Consider the following 25838-nt stretch of genomic DNA (forward strand, 5'->3'; position numbering starts at 1 on the left):
TGAATCTTCAGTGATTTAATTAAGGAGGGAAAAAAGGAGGAATTTATGTGCTTAGACCAGAAGAATATGGGATATAGCACCAATAATAAAATTCAAAAGTGATACAATTAAACCAAGGTGGTCGTTGTCCTAAAACATCACCCCAATGCAAACAGAGAGAACTGGAAGTAAAGGAAGGAAACATCTTTAAGAGAAGACATGAAATGGGCCATAAAAGAGGTTTTTATTACGTCCAAAGTGAACTAACTAAAAGGAGCATGCTACAACATGGAAGGACCTCAAAAACATGATGCTAAGTCCAAAAAAAAAAAAAAAAAAAAACCCAGACACAAAAGGTCTCATGCCTTGTGACTCCCGTATTGTGAAATGTCCAGACCAGGCAAATCTATGGAGACAGCAGATGGGCTGCCAGGGCCTGAGAGGAGAGGAAGTGGGAGTGACTGCTAATGGGGTTGGGGTCTACTTTGGGATATGGAAATATTCTGCAATTTAATAGAGGTAGTGTGTGCACAACATTCTGAATGTACTAAATACCACTGAATTGCATACTTTAACATGACTAATTTCATGAGGTTTTAATTTCCTTTAGTTATTTTCTTAGTATAATTTTATGTTATATTAATTTTACCTCAAGTTTAAAAAAGAAAACTGAATGTCTAGAAAGTGCTTATGCTGTTATGAAAATAACTACAACTATTTCATAAGTTCAGTTGGAAAATAATAGTTTCTCAATGGAACTTCTGGGCATAATTCCACATTTATCAAAAAGGTATAACATAAGGAATAGGGGCTCAAAAAGGAGGAAATGCCAGTTATTAACCTTGGCCAGTAAGGGTATTTTGGGGAAATAAGAACACGGATTTGTTTATTAAAATGGGCACCCCTCTAAACCAGCCATCACTTTTGTCTTTCAGTGGAAGATCTCTTATCCTTAAGATAAGAAACCTGATTTTATATCTACTGTATGTAATCTACTTTCACTATCAATGAGAGTGAAAATCAAGAGTGATTAAAGCATGCAAAGGGAAGACAAGGGACTGTGATCAGGCTTGGAACACCCATCTGTTTGATCACAGGAAGGAGGATGAATGAGAACCACAAACCGTCTGAGAGATTCTGTTTGAACTGTGTAGGCTAAGCATTAACAATTCCCAGCATTCCTGCCCTGAGTACCTACCCTTCTACTACTGAAGCTAAAACTATTTAAAACTTTTAGACTATATTTACCACTACTCAACAAAAATAAGCTCACATTATTGTCAATTAGATAAAAGTTCTGCTTTGACTACAGTCTTCTGTATGTTGCTATGGCTTCACTTATTCTTTCAGCAAACAGCACCTTAGCATGGGCTTGTGAAGTCATAGCTCCTGCCCTCAAGGCATTTACACTCCAGAGAGCAGCAGGTTAATAACACTTTTGCTGTAGTGGGTGAACATCCCCCTCATCTTCTTTGTTCAGCAGGGGAGGAGCCCTTTGGCTGGGACTCATAGGTTCTAGTTTCTAGGCAGAGGCCCGTGGGAAAGCGCTCAGAGTAAAATGACCTTACCCTCTACCCATAAACTTATTTTCCCAGTACAAGTTGAGCATCCCTTTTCTGAAATGCTTAGGACTAGGAGTGTTTCAAATTTCTGATTTTTATGAATTTTGAAATATGTGCATTATACTTACTGGTTGAGCATCCCTAATGGGAAAATATGAAATCCAAAATACTCCAAAGAGCATTTCCTTTGAGTGTCACATCAGTGCACAAAAGGTTTTGAATTTCAGATTAGGGATACTCAACTTTGGTCAGACCATCTTTTGACCAAAAATAGGCTGTTGTTCAGGGCCAAGTGTTATTTTTGTATCTTCTGTAGCAGTTAGCACAGTGTTCAATAAAAACCCAATTTGGCCGGGCATGGTGGCTCACACCTGTAATTCCAGCACTTTGGGTGGCTGAGGCGGGTGGATCACGAGGTCAGGAGATCGAGACCATCCTGGGTAACATGATGAAACCCCGTCTATACTAAAAATGCAAAAAATTAGCTTGGCATAGAGGCACGTGCCTGTACTCCCAGCTACTCAGTAGGCTGAGGCAGGGAGAATTACTTGAACCCAGGAAGCAGAGGTTGCAGTGAGCCAAGATCACACCACTGCACTCCAGCCTGGGTGACAGAACAAGACTCTGTCTCAAAAAAAAAAAAAAAAAAAAAAAAACCTGATTAATAAATGATGAAATCTGAACCTAACAAACTGTTAAAATTTTTTCTTGGCTATAAAAACAAATTTTTTAGAAGTGTTCTCAAAAGTGACTTTATTCTTCCTCCCTCACTCCACTACCTACTCCCACATAACCAAGGAACACAGTATAACCGAGTTAGCTCTGAATTATTTGACTGTGAGGGCCAAGCTTACTCAAGGGGACTTGCTGGTTAAAACAACAACAACAAAAACTTCTAGGAGCATCCTGATCACTGAGGGGAGAAGCTGTGATTCAGCACTGATTCACAGCTCTGGCTTTAGAATCCATATGTCTTGGTTAATACATTGGTTTTTAAATTTGCTGGTTGATTGGTACTAATCCCATCCTTAGTTATCAACAAGGATAAATCTACTTCCAAAAGTTGTTAGGAGGATTTAATGAGATCACATTCATAGAAGTACCTTGTGCAATGTAAACCACCATGTAAGAAGTTGCTTTTCCCTTCTTCCTCAGACTTTCTCTTTCTACTTAATTGAAAAAGTAGAAATCCAGCCAGCACTGACCCAAGACTTTGTTGTCTTGTTTTTACAAACAAAATGGGTAGAGGAAAGAAATCAGAAGTAATTTAGAAAAATGATACAGTTTGAAAGTGTTCCATGTTTTTCCCAAGGAAGAATATAAATCATCCAGTTGGACATTGCTAGGCATTGTCAATTACCCAATAATGGGAAGGAATGGAAATTAAGCCAGTGGGATTTGTACAGAGAGATCTAGTTAAAACAGGGATAAAAGAAACCAAATGGGCCGGGCGCCCATTACACCTGTAATCCCAGCACTTTGAGAGGCTGAGGCAGGTGGATCACCTGAGGTCAGAGGTTCGAGACCAGCCTGGCCAACATGGTGAAACCCTGTCTCTACTGAAAATATAGCCGGGCGTGGTGGCAGATGCCTGTAATCCCAGCTATTTGGGAGGCTGAGGCCGGAGAATCGCTTGAACCCTGGAGGCAGAGGTTGCAGTGAGCCAATCATGCCATTGCACTCCAGCCTGGGCAACAAGAGCAAAACTCCGTCTCAAAAAACAAACAAACAAACAAAAAACAAATGGAAGATCAGCTGATATGACAGCATAAAAACAAATACCACTTATCCCTCCAGGTTAGTAATTTAACTAGTTAATTTACCTTGCAGCACAGTAAGTCTAGAATTCAGTAAATGGGCAGGGTTTTGTTTTATTCTTTTTTTAAATCATTTCTTCTCTTAAAAATATTTCCCCCACCCTACCCTTCACTGTCCTTCTTACCACAGAAATTATAATTATCTACCAGTAGGAGGTCAGTGGTTTTATTTATTTATTTATTTATTTATTTATTTATTTATTTATTTTTTTGAGACAGTCTCTCTCTGTCGCCCAGGCTGGAGTGCATTGGCAGAGATCAGTGGTTTTAAGACTTTCAGTTTTTGTTTTTCTTTCTTTTTTTTTAATCTCTGCTCACTGCAACCTCCACCTCCCAGGTTCAAGCGATTCTCCTGTCTCAACCTCCCGAATAGCTGGGACTACAGGTGCACACCACCATGCCCAGCTAATTTTTGTATTTTTAGTAGAGACGGGGTTTCACCATGTTGCCAGTATGGTCTCAATCTCTTGACCTCATGATTTGCCCACCTCGGCCTCCCAAAGTGCTGGGATTACAGGTGTGAGCCACCGTACCTGGCCCTGTTTTTCTTTAATAGAAATCTGTTCAGGCACGATGGCTCATACCTGTAATCCCAGCACTTTGGGAGGCCAAGGCAAGAGGATCACTTGGGTGCAGGAGTTCAAGACCAGCCTCGGCAACATCTCGAGACCTGTCTATACACAAGGAAAGGGAGGGAGGGAAGGAAGGAAGCAAGGAGGAGAGAGAAGGGAAGGGGAAGGGGAAGCTTATAAAACAAATTATGTGAAGTTGTTTGTTCTGGAAGGTGGATGAGTTGGGCCACCATGGCTCCCCACCCAGCTCCTTAGGAGTCCAGCAGCATAGTCTGAAAGCATCTGTTGTGGATTAATTGCCCATATAAACATTTCACATGTTCCATAGTTCTTCTTTCTTCCTCTCGGGTTAATAGCTTGCGGCAGTAGTTGCTACCATGGGGACACTGGGTAGCAGTATGATTCAGAAGCAGAATAGAAATGTTCCTGTATTAATCTCAAATAAAAAATCCAAATATTTACTTTAAATATGCTATTATTAGCTGAATTCTCAAAATTGGAAAATCTTACAGATTTGAATTTTGGAAAAAATACTTAAATCTTTATAATTTGCCAAGAAAATCTCTGTTAATACGGGATGCTGAAAGTGGAAAGAAAAGAAAGCTTGAGTGTCACTAGAGTCACTCTATTTTTTCATTTTACCTTCAAACTAGCTAATAAATTAGATCATGGTATTTATTTTTTAGATAAGACCCTGAAGTTCACTGACATTAAGTAATTTGGATCCCTGTATGTGAGCTGGGTCTTAAGACAGGTGCACCAAATTCCAAAGTCTGATTTTCAGTACTACAGCTGACATTTAATTACTTCCAGTTTTAGGGGAATTCATTTCTATAAATTTCTCATTTGTTTTATATTTATAACCCCTGGCCCTCAAAATAAAAATCTGATTATTTCTTGTCAGTGATGTTGATATTAATTTAGATTCTTGGTATTTTCCACTGTTTTTGTTAAACAACAGCAATAAACTATCTATAGTAGGATTGTCTTGAGTAACTAGGAGTATTAAATCCATAGTAAATAATTACACTGCCTGCTTTTGGTTTAGTTAGGGTTCTTTTTTTTTTTCAAAGTTTACTTAGATACTTATTAACAAAAATAATTAGCTTTTAAAAAAGGTTAGTGCAAAAGTAATTGCAGTTTTTACCATTACTTTTAATATCATTACTTTTAGTAGTTTTCATTACTGTTAAATAAAAGCAAGATAATTTACTTCTCTTTCTCAAGCCACCAACAACGGAGTGGGTTGTGATGAAGCCATTGAACCTGGACCATACATTTGTAAAAGGCCTCAGATTAGGACTTTCAGTATGATCCATAAATGTGATAATAATATAGCCACTGTTTTGTTGGTTGTTGCTGTTAACAGAATTAACATAAATTATAACAACAATTTAATAATCTCTCTTTTACCTTTTACCCACTGGATATTTACCCCGGTAAGTAATCTTTCACATCTTTCTCCACGAATGTAGACATATCTATAAACAAAAAGATATGGTTTGCGTTTTTCACTTAATTTCACCAGGATGTCCCTCTCCTGATAGACATTCAGGTTGTTTCTGGTGTTTACCACTTCAAAGCAGTGCTGCAACACACTTCCTTGTATATCTCTGTCTGTATCTCCTGTATGTATTGAGCTTATATTTTAACCTTCTTTACTGTGAAATATAACAAGCATATGAAAGAGGGCATAATTGTAGATTGTAACAAATAATAAGTGAATAAATAAAGCTCACTCATTAAGCCACCACTGTAATTCAATAAACATGGTGGGTATCCAGAAGCCACCTGCTGCCCCTACCCTGATCCTAAAGATCTTCACACTTCTGAGAGTGTTTCCATGTTTTTCTTTACAGTTATACTACTTTTTGTACATCTTTAGAAATATATTTAGGCTGGGCACAGTGGCTCACGCCTGTAATTCCAGCACTTCGGGAGGCCAAGACAGAAGGATCACTTGAGGCCAGGAGTTTGAGACCAGCCTGGGCAACATAGTGAGGCCTTATCTCTACAAAAAGTAAAAAATTAGCCGAGTGTGGTGGTGCACACTTGTAGTCCTAGCTACTTGGGAGGCTGAGATGGGAGAATCACTGGGTGACAGATTGAGACCTGGCTGTCAAAAAAAAAAAGTGTGTGTGTGTGTGTGTGTGTGTGTGTGCATGCGTATAGGTTTACCTGTTTTTGAACTTTATGGAAACAGCATCATGCTTGTGCATTCTTTGTGTTTTGCTTTTTATTTTATTTTATTTATTTATTTTTTGAGACGGAGTCTCTCTCTGTTGCCCAGGCTGGAGTGCAGTGGTGCAATCTTGGCTCACTGCAAGCCCCGCCTCCTGGATTCACACCATTCTTAGTCTCCCTAGTAGCTGGGACTACAGGCGCCCGCCACCATGCCCGGCTAAGTTTTTGTATGTTCAGTAGAGACGGGCTTTTACTGTGTTAGTCAGGATGGTCTCGATCTCCTGACCTCGAGATCCGCCCGCCTCGGCCTCCCAAAGTGCTGGGATTACAGGCGTGAGCCACCACGCCCGGCCGTGTTTTGCTTTTTTTGCTCACTAGAGATGCCGCGGCCCCAGCTGCACACAAAAGGACCCTGGTGTGGGGGACCCTTACAAAAGAGGACGGAAACAACATAGTTTTAAACCAATAAACCTTGTAAGTTTCTTCTGTCTATTGCAGGTAGCTCCGGTTTATTCGTTTTCATTCCATTTTATGCATTTACCATAGTCTCTTTGTTCATGCAGTTGTTCTAGGCATTTCCGACCACTGCTGGCAGCGGCAGGAGCCCTTGCTGTGTATCCCCTAGGGCACAGGTGTGCACATCGTGGGGGTGGGGTGTTCCTCACCTTCAATGGATAGTGCTAAACTGTCTTCCAGGAGCGGAGTTCAGCCTCCATTTCTGTTAGCATAGTAGAGTTCCTGCTGCTCTGCTGTCTTTCCATTATTTGGTACACTTAGGTGTCTTTTTCATTATCTTTTTTCTGGCCTGCATTTTTTTCAAACTGGTAGATCTGTAGTGGAATTCACTGTGGTTTAAATTCCAGTTCCTGATTACCGCTGAGGCTGAGAGCCTTTTGCTGTGTATTTCCATTTGTGTTTCCACTTTGATGAAGTGCTGTTCAAGTCTTTTGTTTATTTTTCTTTTGGGGTGTTGAGCTTTATATATTCTGAGTAGTAGTCCTTCATTGGTTGTGTATAATTTATGTGTTGTAGGTGGCTTGTCTTTTTATCGGCAGAAGTACCAATTTTTGGAGGGGGAGCGGATAGCATTCCCAAAGTGGGACTGCCTGGCCAGAGTATGTAACTGGACTTGTTTTCATGACCCCCAGGCAGGGCCGCAGGAAGCATCAAGTGTTTTTGAAATGGCTTCTGGACCCATAGCTCTCCCGGGTTGGTTGGCTTACCTTTAACCAGAACACTCCCAGCAGAGGCTATGGGTCTGTGTCTCCTTCAGGTAAAATGAGATTAACTTGAGTACCAAGGGAAACAGTGAAGTGTAAAAGTCAAGAGCTACCGTTTATCGCAGGCCAATTAGGTCCGTTTTGTGTGATCTTCAAAATAAGTCTCAGAAGCAGATATTATTTTACCCACTTCACAGATGAGGAGCTTGAAGCTCATCAGGAATAAAGATTTTACTCTATGCCATACAACTGGAAAGTAGGAAAGTGGGGTTAAAGCTCACTTTCACATGGCTCCCAAGCAAATTCTGCATCCATTCTGGCAGCTTGAAGCATAGCCTAGCTTCATGGTACTGGGTACCTTGCAGAGGAGGCATGGGTAGAACAGAGTCCACACCAGATGTCTGACTGTGACATAAGCCACAGCCCCTTCTCGTCTGCAACTCTCCGTGACTGGGGGTGGCATGGGAGCTCTGATGAGGCACACTCCAATGCCGGTGTCCCACCCCTCCCCAAGGCCAGCCGTGGCACACTGCAGGCTGCTTACTGATCAGGTTGAAGCCTGGTCGCTTGATAAAGGGTATTTTGTTGTTTTCTTCTTCATTATTTGGCACGTCAATGTAAATTATTTTAATAGGACTCAACAGTTTCAGTCTTTGAAACATTATATGAGGGGAGGCTACTTGATGTGTGAATTCAAGATAATAAGATGAATTGTAAGGAGACAAGCATTTTTGTTAAGTATCAGAGCACACTTATAATATTTGGTTAAAAAAAAAAACTTACACGTGTCTATAAGAGATATGGGCTGACAGATTTTGTGTGGTAGTGTGGGTTTTTCCACCTCCACGCTGGTGAGCGAGTGGATCATGTGAGGCTTTTGGAATAATAAGTACCACCAGGACAGAAGAGAGAACTGTTTGCAGAGTTACAGATAGCAACATGTTTCAGGAGCTCTTCATTTCCTGTGAAGTTGAGAGAGTGTGTGGGGGGGGTGAGGGGTGCGCGTGCACGTGCGCCTGTGTGTGTAATTTCCCAATGAAGTAGAACAGAAGTGTGTAAAGAACATTTTTTTTTACAAAGTTACTAAATTATACTACTTGATAATTTTATGTCCCCAATCTTGAGTCAAGAGTTGATTAGGAGGATTTTTTCTTTATATATTATTATATTATTTTTATATAATTTATATACATATATTATTTTTAATGCCCTGTCTTTAACAAAAGACATTTTTAAATAAAACTAGCAGGCTGGGCACGGTGGCTCACGCCTGGAATCCCAGCACTTGCGGAGGCTGAGGTGGGCACATCACTTGAGGCCAAAAGTTCAAGACCAGCCTTGCCAACATGGAGAAACTCCATCTCTACTAAAAATACAAAAATTAACCAGGCATGGTGGCATGCGCCTGTAGTTGCAGCTGCTTTGGACGCTGAGGCAGGACAATCACTTGAACCCAGGAGGCGGAGGTTGCAGTGAGCCAAGATCGCACCATTGCACTCCAGCCTGGGTGACAAGGCGAGATTCCATCTCAAAAAATAAATAAAACTAGCAGATGTCCTGTAAAATGTGAGACATTCCAGAGTTACAAATTTATCTTATATAATTATATAAATTTAAGCAGAGATTCAAAGGAATAGTGCAAAGGGCTTAATTTCAGATGTGTGTTTTAATTTCCTTCTTTCAGTTTCTCCAACTAGCTACAATCTGAAAAATATCTTGCTGGCTGGGTGCAGTGGCTCATGCCTGTAATCCCAGCACTTTTGGAGGCCGAGGAGAGCAGATTGCTTGAGGTCAGGAGTTTGAGTCCATCCTGAGCAACATGGCAAAACCCCATCTCTACTAAAAATACAAAAATTAGCCCTGCATGGTGGTGCACGCCTGTAATCCCAGCTACTGGGAGCCCGAAACACGAGAATCACTTAAACCTAGGAGGCGGAGGTTGTGGTGAGCCAAGATTGCACCAGTGCACTTCAGCTTGGACAACAGAGCAAGACTCCGTCTCAAAAAAAAAAAAAAAAAAAAGAGAGAAAAGAAAAAGAAAAATATCTTCCTGAAATTCAGTGAACTTGCTTTGGAAATGTTTCGTAAGTTCCCACATCTATACGGTATTCATAGGCTATTCTTAGCGGAGATCAATCTCTGGAGTCAGAATGCCTGATCAGTTTCCCTTCCTGGCTGTCCCACCACGGTGGTTGAAGGGCTGCTCCAGGACACACCAGAAGTATTACTGAAATACTGCTTTATGGTGTGCATTTTACTGTTCTGCAATATCTTATGTCATAGAAGAGGGTTTAAGTATGAAATTCACATGGCCACAGTTTTATATAGTTGTGGAAACCCAAGGAAGTATTTTTCTTTGTATTCTAAGCCATGTTCTCTTGTGCTGCCACAAACCCTTGGCCCAGCACAGGTGCTGTCTCTGTCCTCTGAAGAGCCACAGTGCAGGGCTGTCCTGTCTGGTGCTCAAGACCCGCTCCTGTGGCTTAGCAGGACCGATGGGCACACCGGGGGTTACATGGAATTAGTATTCCGCTAGCTTGACTTAGGAAAAGGAAGCGCAACCACTCCAAAAGTAGAGTGCTGAAGCCACTGGGCTCGCTCCCAACCCTGTGCTGCTCCTGGGCTCTGTGTCAGCTTTCCAGTGAAGATAGCAGCACTACTCTTTTATTGCAGAAGTCCCCAGTTTTTCATTTCCTGGAAGCTTTGAGATTAGTTTTGAATGGGGGCTTTGAGGACAGAAGAAAGATAATGTTCGTAGGAAAATCATTAAGCAGAGTTCAAGAAAGTATAGCAATGGAAGTATTTCAGGTCAGGTTTAGTGGTCTCCTGATTAGTGGCCCCTGTCTTAAGTTAATGACACTTTTTAAGTAATAGCTTGACTGAGATGTAATTTACATACTAAAAATTTACCCTTTTTAAAGTGTACGAATCATTGGTTTTTATTTTACTCACAAAGTTGTGCAACCAGCACCCTAATTCTGGCACATTTTCATCACCTCAGAAAGAAACCTTGTACCTTCAGCAGGAGCTCCGCACTTTCTCTCCCCCAGCAGCCACTCCTCTGCTTTCCGTCTCTGTGGATTTGCCCGTTCTGGACGTTTCCTGTCAGTGGAACCATACAGATGTGACCTTTGGTGTCTTTCACTTTAGCAGAATGTTTTTAAGGTCCATCCATGATGTAACATGTATCAGAATTTCCTTTTTTTTTTTTTTTTTTTTTTTCTTTGAGACTGAGTTTCTTGCTTGTTGCCCAGGCTGGAGTGCAATGGTGCGATCTTGGCTCACTGCAACCTCTGCCTCCTGGGTTCAAGCGATTCTCCTGCCTCAGCCTCCAGAGTAGCTGGGATTACAGGTGCATGCCACCACACCCAGCTAATTCGAACTCCTGACCTCCGGTGACCGACCTGCCTCATCCTCCCAAAGTGCTGGGATTACAGGTGTGAGCCACCACACCCGGCCAGAATTTCATTCTTTTTATGGCTGAATAATATTTCATGACATAGATACATCAAATTTATTTATCCATTCAACAGTTGATGGACATTTGGGTTGTTTCTACTTTCTGGGTACCTTGAATAATCCTGCTGCAAACATTCATATGCAAGTTTCTGTGTGGATGTCAGTTCTCAGTTCTCTTGGATAGACAGCAAGGAGATGAATGGCTGGATTGCTGCCACGCAGCTTTCCAGAGCGATGGCCTCATTTTACCATCCCACCAGCCTAATGGTACATTTTAATCACTGCTATTCTAATCTTGTTAGAGTCTTAAGGTTTCCATGGCTCCTACCAGTTTGTTCATGATCTCTTGGGCTATTTGTTGCTGTCTGCCTAGCAGAACAAATCTTGTTGGAGGAAATCCATTTCAGTATGAAGGCAAAAGTTTAATTCACTCAAGTATTGTTTTTTTGTGTGTATAAGGGTGACATAAAAGTAGATAAGCTATCTTCTGGAAGGCATTATTTTTACTCCTTAATTATATACCTAAACTGTGTCACCAACTAGCCTAGAGTTTAATATTAAATGAATGAAATGAACAAGTGAATTTAGGTTAAAGAAATGTATCAGAAGCCATGGGTTTCTTACAGAAGAAATCAGGGCTCATGAAAAATTCTCATACTGAAGCGTTGAGGGACACTTGTGATATGTGACAGGTGCCGGCATTGCTGAAATGCCATGTGTCCTTACTGTGCAGTACTGGCCGGTGGGATTGAAGAGTCCTGCCGGCCCTGCTAGCTAGTATGCCAGATCCATGGCCTCGTGCCATGCCAGCGTTATGCGCCTCCCAGGCACCAGTCTGTCATCTAGGCACTGGGATTCCACAGAGAACAGACACATAGAGCCTGCCCTCAGGAGGTTCACATTCTCGTGAGGACACAAAACAGGCAGCACTAACTAAGCCAGAGGATCTCGGTGGTGACCAGCCCCGGAACACAGGGTGAGGTGGGGCAGAGGCGCCTCAGAGTGGCATCAGGGGTGACCTCTGTGCCTCTTCTCACCTATGTCCTTGTACAGAACCCAACAGTGATTCTTACAGGAATTGCCTCTTCAAGACTGCTCGGCCTTTGCTGTTCTCTTTGGCACTGATGTGACATTCATGCAGTGGGAGCCACAGCAGCGCTAAGAGCCCTTCTCAGAGGTGGTCCTCCAGGGTGGGAGTGTGGGAGCATGGCCCTAGCCCCAGGAGCCACATGAAGAGCTCCTTTCCGGTCCAGAGAGACTTCCTCAGTCTCCACAGGTCTTTCTCAACACTGCAGGTTGGCCTGCTCCTAAAACTACTATTTTTATGTCGAGTGTGGAGCCACAGGAAAGAATGGAGTTATAGGAAGTGTTACATTATTTATAAATAACCCACATGCATTGACCTAATTTTACAATGAATGGGAATTTACCTTTGTAACTCAAAATAGGATTCCTATCTAAGTTTATTGGACACTATTAATAATGATTCAGCAACAAATAGGAAATTGTTTCTTAGACTGCACTGAAATTATATCTTAAAATACAGCCTACCAGATATGTCTGAAAAGTCTGTTGTCTCTGGCACGTAGAGACCCTGCTGTGTGGGGGAAGATGTGTAGTGTGTGGCCAGCAGTGGGCAGGAAAGGGAGACAGACTGAGAGAGGGGAGACAATCTAAAGAACATGACCATGTAAAAGATAAGCGGGGAGGAAAGAAAAAAATAAAAATGAATGAGGACTGGCCAGGCATGATGGCTCACACCTGTAATCCTAGCACTTTGGGAGGCCAAGGCAGGAGGATCACTTGAGGCCAAACATTGGAGACCAGTCTGGGAAACATAGTGAAACCCCATCCTGTACGAAAAATTTTAAAAATTAGCCAGGAATGGTGGTGCACACCTGTAGTCCCAGCTACTTGGGAGGCTAAGGCCAGAGGATTGCTTGAGCCTAGGAGGTCACACCACTGCACTCCAGCCTGGGTGACAGAGCAAGACTCTATCTCCAAAAAATATATATATTTGGGGTGTGTGTATGTGTGTAATATAAAAAATGAGGGCCCAAAGAGGTTTTTTTAAAAAAAAATATGAGTTAATCAGTATTCACCTTATTAGAAATTAAAACTGAAAAAGATTTAACACATTAATTTACCTAAAAGCATCTATAATCAACCTATTAGATGACAACCTAAATAACATTTTTTATGAAAAATATTTCCTAAAACACAAAAACATATTTAGCAATGAGAGTCACATTGCCCTGTGTTTTGCAGGTCTCTTCACTGGTTGAACAGGAGATGATGGATTATCATCTGTGCTCTGCCTTCAGTCTGTTGTAATATCACACATCATGGGCCTCTAGAAAACACCACTGTACACTCATGAGAGAATGGAAGTGAGAAAGAAAAATAAAGACTTGGCAGAAAACAGTTTTGGCCTTGTAGGCTGCCTGAAAGGCTCTCGGAACCTCCAGCGACCCCCAGACCCCACTTTAAGAATGACTAGTCTAAAGTATTCCACTATCCAAATGAACTCTCTTGGAGAGGTATGAGTCCTACAGCAGTAACAGGTACAGAGAAATTAGCAGCAACATGACAAATTTTAAGAACATTTTATACCCAGAATACATGCTTGGTTAAAAAAAAAATGATTCCAAGCTCTCTGAGGGTGAGTCCATCATGGGCCAGGTGCTTCCTTGTTATCTTCCCGTTTTCTGTTGTCCACAGCACCATTGTGGCTTAAATCTCCTAGAGCAAATTCCACTCTATCCACACCCAAAAGAAAGTGGTTCAGGCAGTTTTAAATTGTCCTGTGAAGATTTGAGAGTTAGTTGGATGAGACAGTATCAGATGGAAAAAATAAGCCCTGAAATAACTAAGAGAATAGGCAAGCAAGCTGGTAATATCAGCTAATGTTCCGGTGTGCAAAGAAGACTTTCCATGTTTACTTTCTTCCAGTGGACTGGAGAGTGGAAATCTTGGTTGCCCTTACTTTGAATGGTTGGTTTTCCAAATGACATTTGTCATCTACCAATCAAGATAAATAACACCAGCTATAATGAGGCCAGAGGAGGTAGATCATTTGCTACACCAAAATATCCATAAAATGTGTGTAAAAATATGTAAATTTAGCATTGTTTCAATGGCAGTGAGGTGGGAACCCTGCTTCCTTCATCTATTGTATATTTCTGAGACTCCTCTTGGGCGTGGTGCCACTCCCACTCTCTTCTTGGTCCGCAGCTGATTTCTATTGCCCCAGGACTTGCCCCATCCTCACTTCTGAGCTCATGAGTGATGCTGGGGCTGCCTTTTTAGGAATTCAGGAAATGGAGGCACCCAGTTAAAGTTATCTGCACCTTACTCATTTCCATGCACCTTTCTTGTCGCACGATGGGAAACCTCAGCTCTAGTTTGTTTACTAAGGAGAAACATCTGTCCTTTGACATCACTTCCGACTCTTGAACTGAATTTGTAATTTTTTTCTGAAGATGGTCTCAAGTTGGTTCTCTTCCTTTGTGATTTGTTTTCTACTTAGATTTTGACAGCTTCCAAAATATGTTACCAACAACAAAATTCAGACAAGAAAATTGGTTTTTTTTCATTCTAAGAAGTTAACTTTGCTCCGTATAAATATCTCCATTTGTTTATTCCTAACCCTTTATAATGTTTAGAGTATTTTTTTCTCTCTCAAGGATCTGGTAATTACTAAAACAGCAAATTTGGAAATGTTTTTAAAATTAAAGTTAATGGCTCTGTCTTTGTAAATTTTTCTTTACAAATAGATTGGAAATGTTCAGGTGCAATTCTGCTTTGCACCAGAGAGCACTTTGTAACACAAAAAGTCTTCAGTCAGCCAAGCTCACCTGTCAGCCTGCAGAAGGCACTTATCACAGATGGCTGGTTGTTTCTAGCGCCCCATGCTGCCACACTCTCATAGAAAGGTGTCTGCTTCAGCACCCACACCTAGCACTGGAGACTTTGGAACTGTCTTTCCTCCTCAAACAGAGGCACATGTCAGCGAGGGATAGCAGCAGCACTAGGAATTAGAGAATCACAGAATCCTACAAGGGAGGAAGATGAAGCTGAGAGAGATTCAGAATTTCTGCCGTGGAAGGTGGACAGTGTCCTTTCTATCCCCAAGTCTGCAGCCAGCTTTCCTCTGAGCAAATGCACATCACCTGCAGCATCATGGGGTTGGAGTGTGCAGGCTCAGCCCTGGAGGACGTGAGTTGGCAGGACTCCTTCCGCGTGGCCCTCATCTCCAGTACAGCCCAGTCTCAGTCTCTCCATGGGGCCCTCATGAGATGTAAGTGATGTGGTGCCCCCATCCTTACTCTATCTCTCTTGAGGGGTGTCTCCAAGGGCTTTTTTATAAGTGAGAACATGTTCTCAGAAAGTGCCTCTTACATTTCATTGACTCGTGACATGTCGGGGTGGCCTTCCTTTAAAGAGTGTGGAAGACTTGAAAACAGCCGTAGGGTTGGCCTCAGTGAGCCATGATTGCTCCACTCCAGCCTGGATGACAGAGCGAGAGACCCTGTTAAAAAAAAAAAAGAAAGAAAAAAGATAAAAACAACACTTATATTTATTTTTATGGTAAATATAATTTTCATTGTGGTAAAATAACATACTATAAAATTTACAATTTTAACCATTTTAAGTATAACTTGGTAGATACAATTTTAACATGTGTATAGATCTTGATATCTTTCCACTTAAAAAATACACTGGTTACTATAATAAAAACATAGCACTGAAAGTCTTTCAGCTTCCTGAGCGTGACTTTAGGAAAGCACGCGTGGGCTCCTGCCAGGCCTCCTGCCTCCCTCCTCCCGCCTCCAGGAGCAGCTGCGTGTTCTGCAGCCTGTGCTGCAGGTGGGTCTGCCACAGCCCCCAAGTGAGTGCGCAGAGGAGGCTCCCAGGCTGTCCCTGTTCCCTGCCTATGCCATGTACCATGCTGTCTCCTTTCTTCTCCGCGTGTCCTGCACCACCCCCCAGCCTTCTTCTTGCCGCTCTTCAAATACAGCTGATTTTTAGAGGTCAGATGAACTGTGACTGAGTGTGATGGGAAACGTGGCTCTCCCTTCACTGATGGGTAGCTGACTTGACCTCCCCCCATGCTCTCTGGCAGTCTTGTGGGAGCTGCTGGGTGAGCTGCTGACTGCTGCAGAGCCTGCCAGACTAGGGACCTGGTGAGTAGGACAGCTGGCCCTGCTTCTCTCCTTGTCTGCTCCACAAACTTGTTGTCACAGATTAATGACCTGAATTTGTCTGCAGGCTCATTTTATGCAATCTATAAATTAAGGTATACCCCATGAAATTTATTCCAACATAATTAAGTTATCAAATCATAAGCATAATGAATTAATCTGTATGTCCCTTTTTTCTCTAATTAAACTTTATATTTTAAACTTTTTAAATAAAAATGTTTATTAATCTTTGAAAAGACAGACTAATGGTGGCCACTCCCCTGTCAGACTGTTTGTTGCTTAAACATATTTTTAAAGGATCACTTTTTTAAAAGAATGTTTCCTGTGTAACAAAATGAATAGTAAAGAATGAATTGCAGTGAGAGGAACAATACACTTTTTAACTGTGCCAAAAGTGAGCTTCTACACCAAGTCTATGCCCAGCAGAGGCGGGAGTCATTTAAATGAATGTGTCAGCTGCCCCCAGACAACTCTGCTTCACAAGGCAACAGTGGCCATCCAAACCATTATCTATTTTTAAAAATAGTTTTTAAAAACAGTGGAGAAGCTGATTTTTTATGAGACTAAGCATTTTATTTAACTCATAGCCATTCTTCAGCTAAGCATTGTGCATTAAATAAATGTATAATATGTCTAAACTTTTTTAATTAGCTGGTAGCATCCTCTAAATAAAAGTCATTAAATTCAAATAGAACTTTCCTATGGCTGTGTGCTTCTAGAACAGCATTTGTCAGAATTCCAAGGGAACGCTAGTTTCTCAGGACATTATTAGTAATGACACCAAAAAGGGTTTCATGGTTATAAATGGGAGAAGCTTTAGTTTAAAATAAAACAATATGTCACAGGTGCCTTTTACACGGGGCTCTCTAGGCCCTCTGCCATGTCCAGTCCCACTGTAGCATGTGAGGGTCCTGCCAGCCGCAGATGTGCCACACAGCAACAATGGCCGAACAGGGAGTTCTGTTCTCATGGGTTACACTTCGCAGAACACTTTTTGGGAAACTCCAAATTTTTAGGGAAATTGATAAGCACTCTGTCACTGTCTGGAAAGGGTTGTTTATTTTTCTATACTGTATAAAGAAATTTTTTTTACACTCATCTTTTATCATGCTCTTAATTTTACTCTGTTTCTTCACAAAGTAACACTAGGATTAAAATCCTGTCTTCAACTGGGCAGATTTTTTAGCAAAAAACAGCATAAAAGTTTATGGCTTTAGCAATGACAATACTGATAACTATAGTAACATCAAGTGGCTAATGTGTTGGACACTCACTCTGAGCGTAGAAACCTTAGTAGGTGCTGCACATACGTTCTTTACTTCCTTTACTCCTTGCAATAATGCCAGCAGCATCCCCCAGTTTCCCAGAAGGGCTGACACAAGGTCCAAGCATTTTCTCAAGGTCTCACAGTGTATAAAAGGCAGAGCTTAAGCAAGATGAGTTTCTTGACTCCAGGGGCCCTGCTGTTCCCCATCTCTGTTAACAAGGGGCTCAGGTAAAGGTTAGAGCCAGGTCTCGGAAGTGCAGTCAGATCTAAGGTGAGAACCATACAACTGAAATCATAACTGTTTGTCCTTTTGTGTCCCTCTATATATTTTACTTCAGATAACTTTTTTTTTTTGAGACGGAGTTTGGCTCTTGTCACCCAGCTGGACTGCAATGATGTGATCTCAGCTCACTGCAACCTCCGCCTCCCGGGTTCAAGCGATTTTCCTGCCTCAACCTCCCGAGTAGCTGGGATTACAGGCATCCGCCATCATGCCCGGCTAATTTTTGTATTTTTAGTGGAGACAGGGTTTCACCATGTTGGCCAGGCTGGTCCTGAACTGCTGACCTCAGGTGATCCATCCGCCTCAGCCTCCCAAAGTGCTGGGATTATAGGCATGAGCCACCGCACCCAGCCCAGATAACTTTTCTTACATAAGTAATACATATCTGTTTGGGGAAAATATACAAAATACCCAATCCACAGGAAGAAAGTAAATATCACCTCCAAACTCTACTCAGATAACCACTAAAAACATTCTTATAGGCTTCAGTCTTTTCCTTTGGCTTAATATATATAGATGCATGCATAGATACACATACATACACACACACACAGAGAGTGAGAGAGAGTTAATTTGTTGCCTGCTTTTTTCTTAGCAGGGTATCACAAACATGTTTCCATGTCCATAAGTATTTTCTTTGTAACCATTTCAGTGACCGTATACTATTTCACTGTGTGGATGGATCCTAATTTAGTGAGCAAGTTCCTGTTGTGCAGTTGGTTTCCCACAGTGTCTGTCCATCTGTCTGTGTGCCTTCTTCCCCCTCTGAATCGCCACACATCTCGAATTGTAGTTCCATGGCCTTAGGCATTAGAGTCTGTTAAGCATTCTACCAGCTCACTGGCCAAGTACTCAGTAAGGGATGTCTGATGATGAATACCTTTGACTTTTCTTGTTCCAGGACAGCGGGGATTTTCAGTTTGATTGACACCCTGTGGCCCCCAGCGATACCTCTGAAAACACCTGGCCGCGACCAGCCCTGTGAAGAGGTAAGCCCGGCACTGGAAAAACTTCCCCAGTCACAGACTACTCCATGCCAGGTGCCAAGCCAGGCGTCATCACTGTCACTCACATGGTCTGTGTCCCCTGCTCCAGTGGCAACAAGGAGCCCCCATGCAGTCAGTTCCTTTGTAGTGATGCATGAATATGAGCCAGGATTGGGATTCAGGTGCCTGGAGACCAAGCTCTGGCTGCCTTCCCTACTGTGCTGCACAGCATTTTCTTGAAGTTAACTTATGATGAATGCTTAAACCACAACCCTCACATACTGTTGGAACAGTTGGGGTCTCAGCCTTGTACTAAAGTAAACATATAGAATTTTTCCCACGAACTTCTAGTCATTCATAGAACCAACACTCAGTTACCAATTGGAGCAGGAACTCAATACAATCCATAGACATTCGTACAACGTCCTGGGTAGCCAGGAACTTCCATTGTCCTGCTTGTTTATGAGAGTGTCTCAGAAGCAGCAAAATGGATGGAAAGTGTTCCCTCCTCTCCCTCCTGAGCCTTTTCCAGCAGGCTAGCCAGCTGCTGCTTTGGGCCAGAGGTCCCAAAACAAAACTGGGGCTGTCTTCCTTAGGTTGTGGCTGACTTCTTAGTAGTGCTAAGTCTGTGACCCTGAACTGTGCTAAACAGCATAGTAGTTGTCAAAGCACACGGTGGCTCATGCCTGTAATCCCAGCACTTGGGAGGCCGAGGCAGGCAGATCACCTGAGGTCGGGAGTTCAAGATCAGCCTGACCAACATGGAGAAACCCCGTCTCTACTAAAAATACAAAGTTAGCTGGGCATTGTGGCTCATGGCTGTAATGCCAGCTACTCGGGAGGCTGAGGCAGGAGAATCGCTTGAACCCATGAGGCAGACGTTGTAGTGAGCCAAGATCGTGCCATTGCACTCCAGCCAACGAGAGTGCAACTCTGTCTCAAAAAAAAGCCATTTCTAGATTACTTAAGAGGAAGTAATTTCTAGATGATATTTTCAGTATACCCCGAAAGATTTCTAAAATGAAACCTTGAATTAATAGGTTCATAAGTATGGAAGTTCTTATAGTTGGTCCCAGAAGTAAACAATGCAATCCATTCCTTGTATAGCATTCCAGAGAGAGGATGCACCTGTAAGCAAATATGTATATATTAAAGAGGAGATTTTAATAATATCTCCTCTTTTTGAGTCTTTTAACAATACATTCACCTTCTACCTTTGTCTCATTTAAACAGATAAAAACTCATCTGCCTCCTCCAGCCTTGTGTTACATCCTCACAGCTCATCCAAATCTGGGACAAATTGATATAATTGACGAAGACCCCATTTATAAGCTTTACCAGCCTCCAGTTACCCGCTGCTTAAGAGACATTCTCCAGGTAATGTCTTTGTTTCTAACAGGTTTTTTAGGTATTGGCCACGTCTGTGTGCTTCGTGTAATGCTGCCAACCTTTTCTAATTCCTTTCCAGATGAATGATCTTGGTACCCGTTGCAGTTTCTATGCCACGGTGATTTACCAAAAACCACAGGTAATAATCTCTCTCAATCTCTCAATCTCTCAGCCTTTCTCTCTCTCTCTCTCTCTCTCTCTCTCTCTCTCTCTCTCTCTCTTACACACACACACACACACACACACACACACACACACACGGTGTTAGAGGTTTATTAAAGGGTAATCTCCTTTGGAAATTAATGCATTGCCAAAACAGAGAAGTGTTTTTAAAGTCCAGTTAAGCATGCCCCATATACTGAAGTGGCAGTAAATCCATTCCTTTTACAGATGCAGACTACCAGCCACTGTGCTAAGCACTGGGGTGTAAGACACCCAGGTACAACCCTGTCCCCAAAGCTTCTCAGCCCAGTAATGTTCATTCTTTCCCGACACTTAGGCAGGTTGAAGAAAGGAAAGAGATGGAGAAACCTCATTTATGTGGTAGAAGTGGGAATCTCAGGATCGAGCTCAGCTACTTCTGGGAACTTTTAGAGCCTTCAAAACTGAAAGCCCCCCCATCCCACCTCCATGGTCCCTGTGAGGCCTTGGGCTGTTCTAGGGAGCAGTGGCCTAGAGGAGCTTGCTATCAATCAACTAGGAGTAGAGGAGGGAAGGAGACCTGCTTGCCAGTTTGAATGCATGGACTACATTCTGCTAGAAACCTCTGCCAGCCCTTACCTTATGGAGGAATATCCATGTAGATCTAATCACCCAAGAGGGATTGAGAACATCCTGTTTGTTAAACTCTTGTCCACTCATGGGCAATGTGCACCGGGTGCATCTGCCATGGTGCAGGAGAGAGTGAGTGCCCCACACATTGCCTCCTTGAGGGTGTGTATGAGTGGAGCAAACCAGGCCCCAGATGCCTGCACTCACCTGGGCTGTCGGTGGATCACCAGCTACCAGCCAGGCCAGAATACTCAGGAATTGCCCAGCAAGCAGTCTCAAGGGAGGGCAGGAGGCTGGCACCTTGGCCAGCAACCTCGGCCAGGTGCCCCAGTGCACCACGAGTCGGGGGACAGTGGTGGGGGTGGCACCAGGGGCTGTCTTCTAATCATACTATGCCTGGTTATCAAGATCTGACACTCACACCCCTCACTTTTCTTTTTGTTGCTGAAGTATGCTAAAGCACACCCAGACCTCATGCCATTTCACCCCGACACGCTTGTTAGGAATCTCTTCAAAGCATTCATGGTTGCATACAACCCAATTCAGCTGCCTGGTTTTGGAGCCTTTCTCTTCCGCTTAAGTTATCCAGAGTTATTTTCTGTTGTGCATTTATTTTGAACAAATTCTTTGCATTTCTCTGATCATTCTTCGACAGTGGAAGAATAAGAGAGTGACTAAAAGAATATGTTTCATAACTTCTAGTCAAGTTCTTGATGAATTGCATATATACGAGTATCATTAAATCAGTGTTATCACAAGCATGTTAAATCAACTTCTCTTCCATCTGCATCAGGGGTAGTGGGCAGACTGTTTCTGTAAAGAGCCAGATAGTCAATATTTTAGGCTTCTTGGGTTGTATGGTTTTCATAGCAACTACTCAGCTCCACCTTGCAGTGCAAAAGCAGCCATGTTGTCATTCACAAATGAATGAGCAGGGCTGTGTTTCAGAAACCTTTATTTACAGACACCAAAATTTGAATTTAACTTAATTTTTACTTGTCACAAAATATTCTTACGGTTTTTTAACCATTTAAAAATGTAAGAACCTTGAATAAACATAAAAACCATACTTAGCTTACAGGCCTAGCCCACAGGCCATGGTTTGCTGACGTTCTTCAGGTGCTGAGCATGGCTGGAGGACACAGGAACTCTGACGCAGAAAGAAAAACAACCCAAGTGTCTCCTGGTGTCCCGTAGGTTGTACTGAATGCACAGTGCGGTGTGTGTCAGGGAGAGGAGACGGGGAGGGCCATCTACTGACGGCCACCGAGTAGGATGCAAGCTTGTTACCTAAGGATGCCATAGGTGCTGCGCAAGAACACAGCGCTGATACATATGATCGTCATATGAAAGTACTTTAAGGCTTTATCTCAATTTAATTTTTACATTTCAGATGTAAGGAGTGTGCTTTAGGTGATATGTTAGTAACTGTCAATTGCGTTTCCTTTCCTTCTCTGCAGAAAGTGTGTGTGTGTTTCTGCAGCTTAACCTGTGGATTAGCTAGTGCTTGCCAGCACATAGAGTCTTGCCCACAGAAAGGAAATCAGAGGGCTGAGTTGTGAATATAAACGAACCACATTTAGCTCTTTATTTTTTATTATCAATACTTCACCACCTTTAATTCTGTCAGAGATTTTTCAGATTTTCAAACCATTCTCATGTACATATCATTTTATCTCAGCAGCAATAGTGTCACTGTTCCTAATTCCAAGTGGAGAAGACCAAGGCTAGGCCTGGTTATCTGCTGTCTCTGATACACACAACCAAACCCTGGTGGAGCCTGGTGTGGGTTTCCTGACTCTTACTCAGCCCAGTGTCCCCTGGTGCTTCCTGGCTCCACGGTCCCTCAGTTACCTGGTGCCCTGGGGGTGGGGCAGGGACGCAACACACCCCCACCCCCAACCACATGCTGACTGAGCTTGTGCAGGTACTTCACCGCGTTGTCTCATGTCCTTGTCTGTCAAATGGGTGTAACATTCTCTCACCATATTGGATTGTTCTAGGATGAATTTAGGAGTTTTGAAATACCCTTTTTCCTTTGTTTTCTCTTCATCTGTTCCCCTTTTCATCATTTGACAGCTGATCAGTGCCTCTCATGAAGAAATGGAGAATGATTGGCATGAGTCCCTCAGTGGTGCTCCCTGTGAGCACCCCAGTGTCCGGCTCAGGAGATAGGAGGATAGGGCTCCCAGCAAGGACGAGGCAGGGCACGTGCTATGTCCCATACTTTCCAAGCCTGAGGAGACCTAAGACTGACTTCACGCTCCTCTGCCTACCTTGAGAGGGGTCAGTGTGTGTAGGGATGCCCCTGGCATCTGGCACATTCCTGCTCTTCTGGGTCATGGGCCAGGCGGTGGCTCTCTGTGCAGGTGCCTTTCACCCATAGGGAGAATGCTGTCCTCAGAGCAGCCACGTGGCAGTTGCAGCTAACACTCCTGCCCACGGCCCTCTGGCTGAGACCGAGGTTGAAAGTAAAGAAAGCAGGTGTCAAAATGCTTGCACCAAAGCCAGTTGGAGGGGAGCTCTGGGGCAGAGAAAGACCAAGAGTGAAGCAGGTCATCCACCTTGCCCTGTGAAGGGGTCCTCCCTCAGGGAGGTAGAGAAGATAATGTTAATCCCCTCCTATCCAAGAAACAGGCTCCCACCAGTGCCAAGTGCAGCTTTCAGTGAGCATGGCTTCCAGTGGGCATGTGTGCCTAGGAATCAGTAGTCCTATAGCCACAAAACAGTCAAAGACCTGGAACCCAATGGAACAGGTTCCATGATCCACTGAAATTCTGTCTGTCTCCTATAGTCTGCTTTTGTGTGTAAAAGAATCACCAGAAACCAGCTGTCTCAAGAAGGAATAGAAATAAGCTGACTCCTGGGGCCAGTCCGTAGTTAAGCCAGTGGCCTGCATCCTTGGCAGTGAGGGTTGACTTTCAGAATGGCACCATGAGTCATTGCTGGAACTCCAGTCATAAAAACAGACCCAGACTAGGCGTGGTGGCTCACGCCTGTCATCCTAGCACTTTGGGAGACTGAGGCTAGAGGATCTCTTGAGGCCAGGAGTTCCAGACCAACCTGGTCAACAAAGCACGACCCCGTCTCTACAAAAAAATTAAAAATTAGCCAGGCATGGTGCTGCATGCCTATCATCTCAGCTACTTGGGAGGCTGACATGGGAGGATCCCTTGAGCCCAGGAGGTTGCTGCAGTGAGCTGTGATTGCACCACTCCACTCCAGCCTGGCTGACAGAGTGAGACCCTGTCTCAAAAAAAAAAAAAGCAGATTCAGTTGTATTTCCGTTACACTAATGACTAAGTCATGAAGGTGAAAAAGATAGTTTTCATATTTAACTTTTATTTTGTAATAATTATAGTTTCACAGTAGATTGCAAAGAAATACACGGGGGGTCTGGTGCACCCCTCCACCCCCATGTCAATATCCCACACCCACAGTAACCACAGTAAAAACCAAAACCAGCTGGGCGCGGTGGCTCACACCTGTAATCCCAGAACTTTGGGAGGCCAAGGCGGGTGGATCACAAGGTCAGGAGATTGAGACCATCCTGGCTAACATGGTGAAACCCTGTCTCTACTAAAAATACAAAAAAATTAGCCGGGCGTGGTGGCAGGCGCCTGTAGTCCCAGCTACTTGGGAGGCTGGGGCGGGAGAATGGTGTGAACCTGGGAGGCGGAGCTTGCAGTGAGCCAAGACCACGCCACTGCACTCCAGCCTGGGCGACAGAGTGAGACTCTGTCTCAACAACAACAACAACAAAAAACAAGAAACTGACACAGGAACAATCCATGGAGCACATTCAGGTTTCAGCAGCCACGTGTGCACTCTGTGTGTTTGTGTGTGTATGTGTGCGTGCACTTCTTGCAGTTTTGTCACATGTACAGCCTTGCATCACTGTCACTGCAGTCAGAATCCTCCGCTGTGCCATCACCAACGATTCCTGTGTTCGCCTTTATAGCCACGTCGATCCTTTTTTCATCCCTAGCGCTGGCAACCACTCACATGTTCTCTGTCATTATAATTATGTTGTCTTATGGTTGTTACATGAATAGAACCATGCAGTATTTATCTGTATTAGTTTCCTACTAGGATTACCATATAAAGTTCCAAAAACTAGATAGCTTAAAACAATAGAAATGTATTCTCTCACACTTCCGGAGGCCAGAAGTCTGAAATCTTAGCAGTGGCCAGTCGCAGTGCCTCACACCTTTAATCTCAGCACTTTGGGAGGCTGAGGCAGGAGGATCACTTGAGGCCAGGAGCCCAAGACCACCTTGGCCAACATAGTGAGACTCCGTCTCTATTTAAATTTTGTTTTTAGGCCCAGTGCTGTGGCTCACACCTGTAATACCAGCACTTTGGGAGGCCGAGGCAGGTACATCATCTGAGGTCAGGAATTGGAGATGAGCCTGTCAAACGTGGTAAAACCCCATCTCTACTAAAACTACAAAAAATTAGCTGGGTATGGTGGTGCACGCCTGTAGTCCCAGCTACTTGGGAGGCTGAGGCAGGAGAATGGCTTGAACCTGGGAGGCAGAGGTTGAGTGAGCCAAGATCGCTCCATTGCACTCCAGCCTGGGTGACAGAGTGAGACTCTTTCTCAAAAAAAAAAAAAAAAAAATTCATTAAAGAAATATAAGGTGTCGGCCAACAGTATTGTCTAGAGATTCATCCAAAGGACTAATAATGTTGAACATCTTTTCATGTGTTTACTTGCCATCCATATGTCCTCTTTGGTAAAATCCCTGTTTACATCTTTTGCCTATTGTCTAATTGGGTTGCTTGTTTGTTGGTTTATTGTTGAGTCTTTAAAGTTATTTCTATTTTTTAAATACAAAACCTTTGTCAGATACAGGATTTGCAAATATTTTCTCAGGATCTCTAAATTCTATTTTTATCCTTTTAATGATTTTTCTTAACATAGTAGAAGTTTTTAATTTTGATGCAGTCAGATTTACCAGATTTTTCTCTTACAGATCACAGTTTTGTTGTCAAGTCTAAGAGAAGTCAAGTCTCTTTGCCTAGTCATAGGTCCCAAAGTTATTCTTTTGTGTTCTTTTCCAGAAGATTTAATTTTACACTTTACCTTCCAAGTCCATGATGCATTTGGAGTTGGGTTTTGTATAAGGTGTGTGGTTTAGG

The 25838-nt window shown here is 43.0% G+C and overlaps 1 protein-coding gene across 59 annotated transcripts in view; it reads left to right on the forward strand.

Moving 5' to 3' along the window:
- SPIDR (scaffold protein involved in DNA repair) overlaps window positions 1–25838 on the forward strand; it is a 475429-nt gene that overhangs the window by 421077 nt on the left and 28514 nt on the right. For 53 of the 59 annotated variants that reach the window (NR_148202.1, NR_148205.1, NR_104581.1 and 50 more), the window contains 3 exons: window positions 18449–18536; window positions 19767–19910; window positions 20002–20061. Coding sequence is in view for 54 of the 59 variants with exons in the window: in XM_017013268.3 (XP_016868757.1) it covers window positions 18449–18536; window positions 19767–19910; window positions 20002–20061 (292 nt within the window). In the remaining 5 variants the exon portion in view is untranslated. The remainder of the gene's footprint in view (window positions 1–18448; window positions 18537–19766; window positions 19911–20001; window positions 20062–25838) is intronic. The other 6 variants (XM_017013269.3, XM_047421638.1, XM_047421643.1 and 3 more) reach the window with 2 other exon arrangements.

This window comes from Homo sapiens, chromosome 8, assembly GCF_000001405.40.
Source record: "Homo sapiens chromosome 8, GRCh38.p14 Primary Assembly".
NCBI lineage: Eukaryota > Metazoa > Chordata > Mammalia > Primates > Hominidae > Homo > Homo sapiens.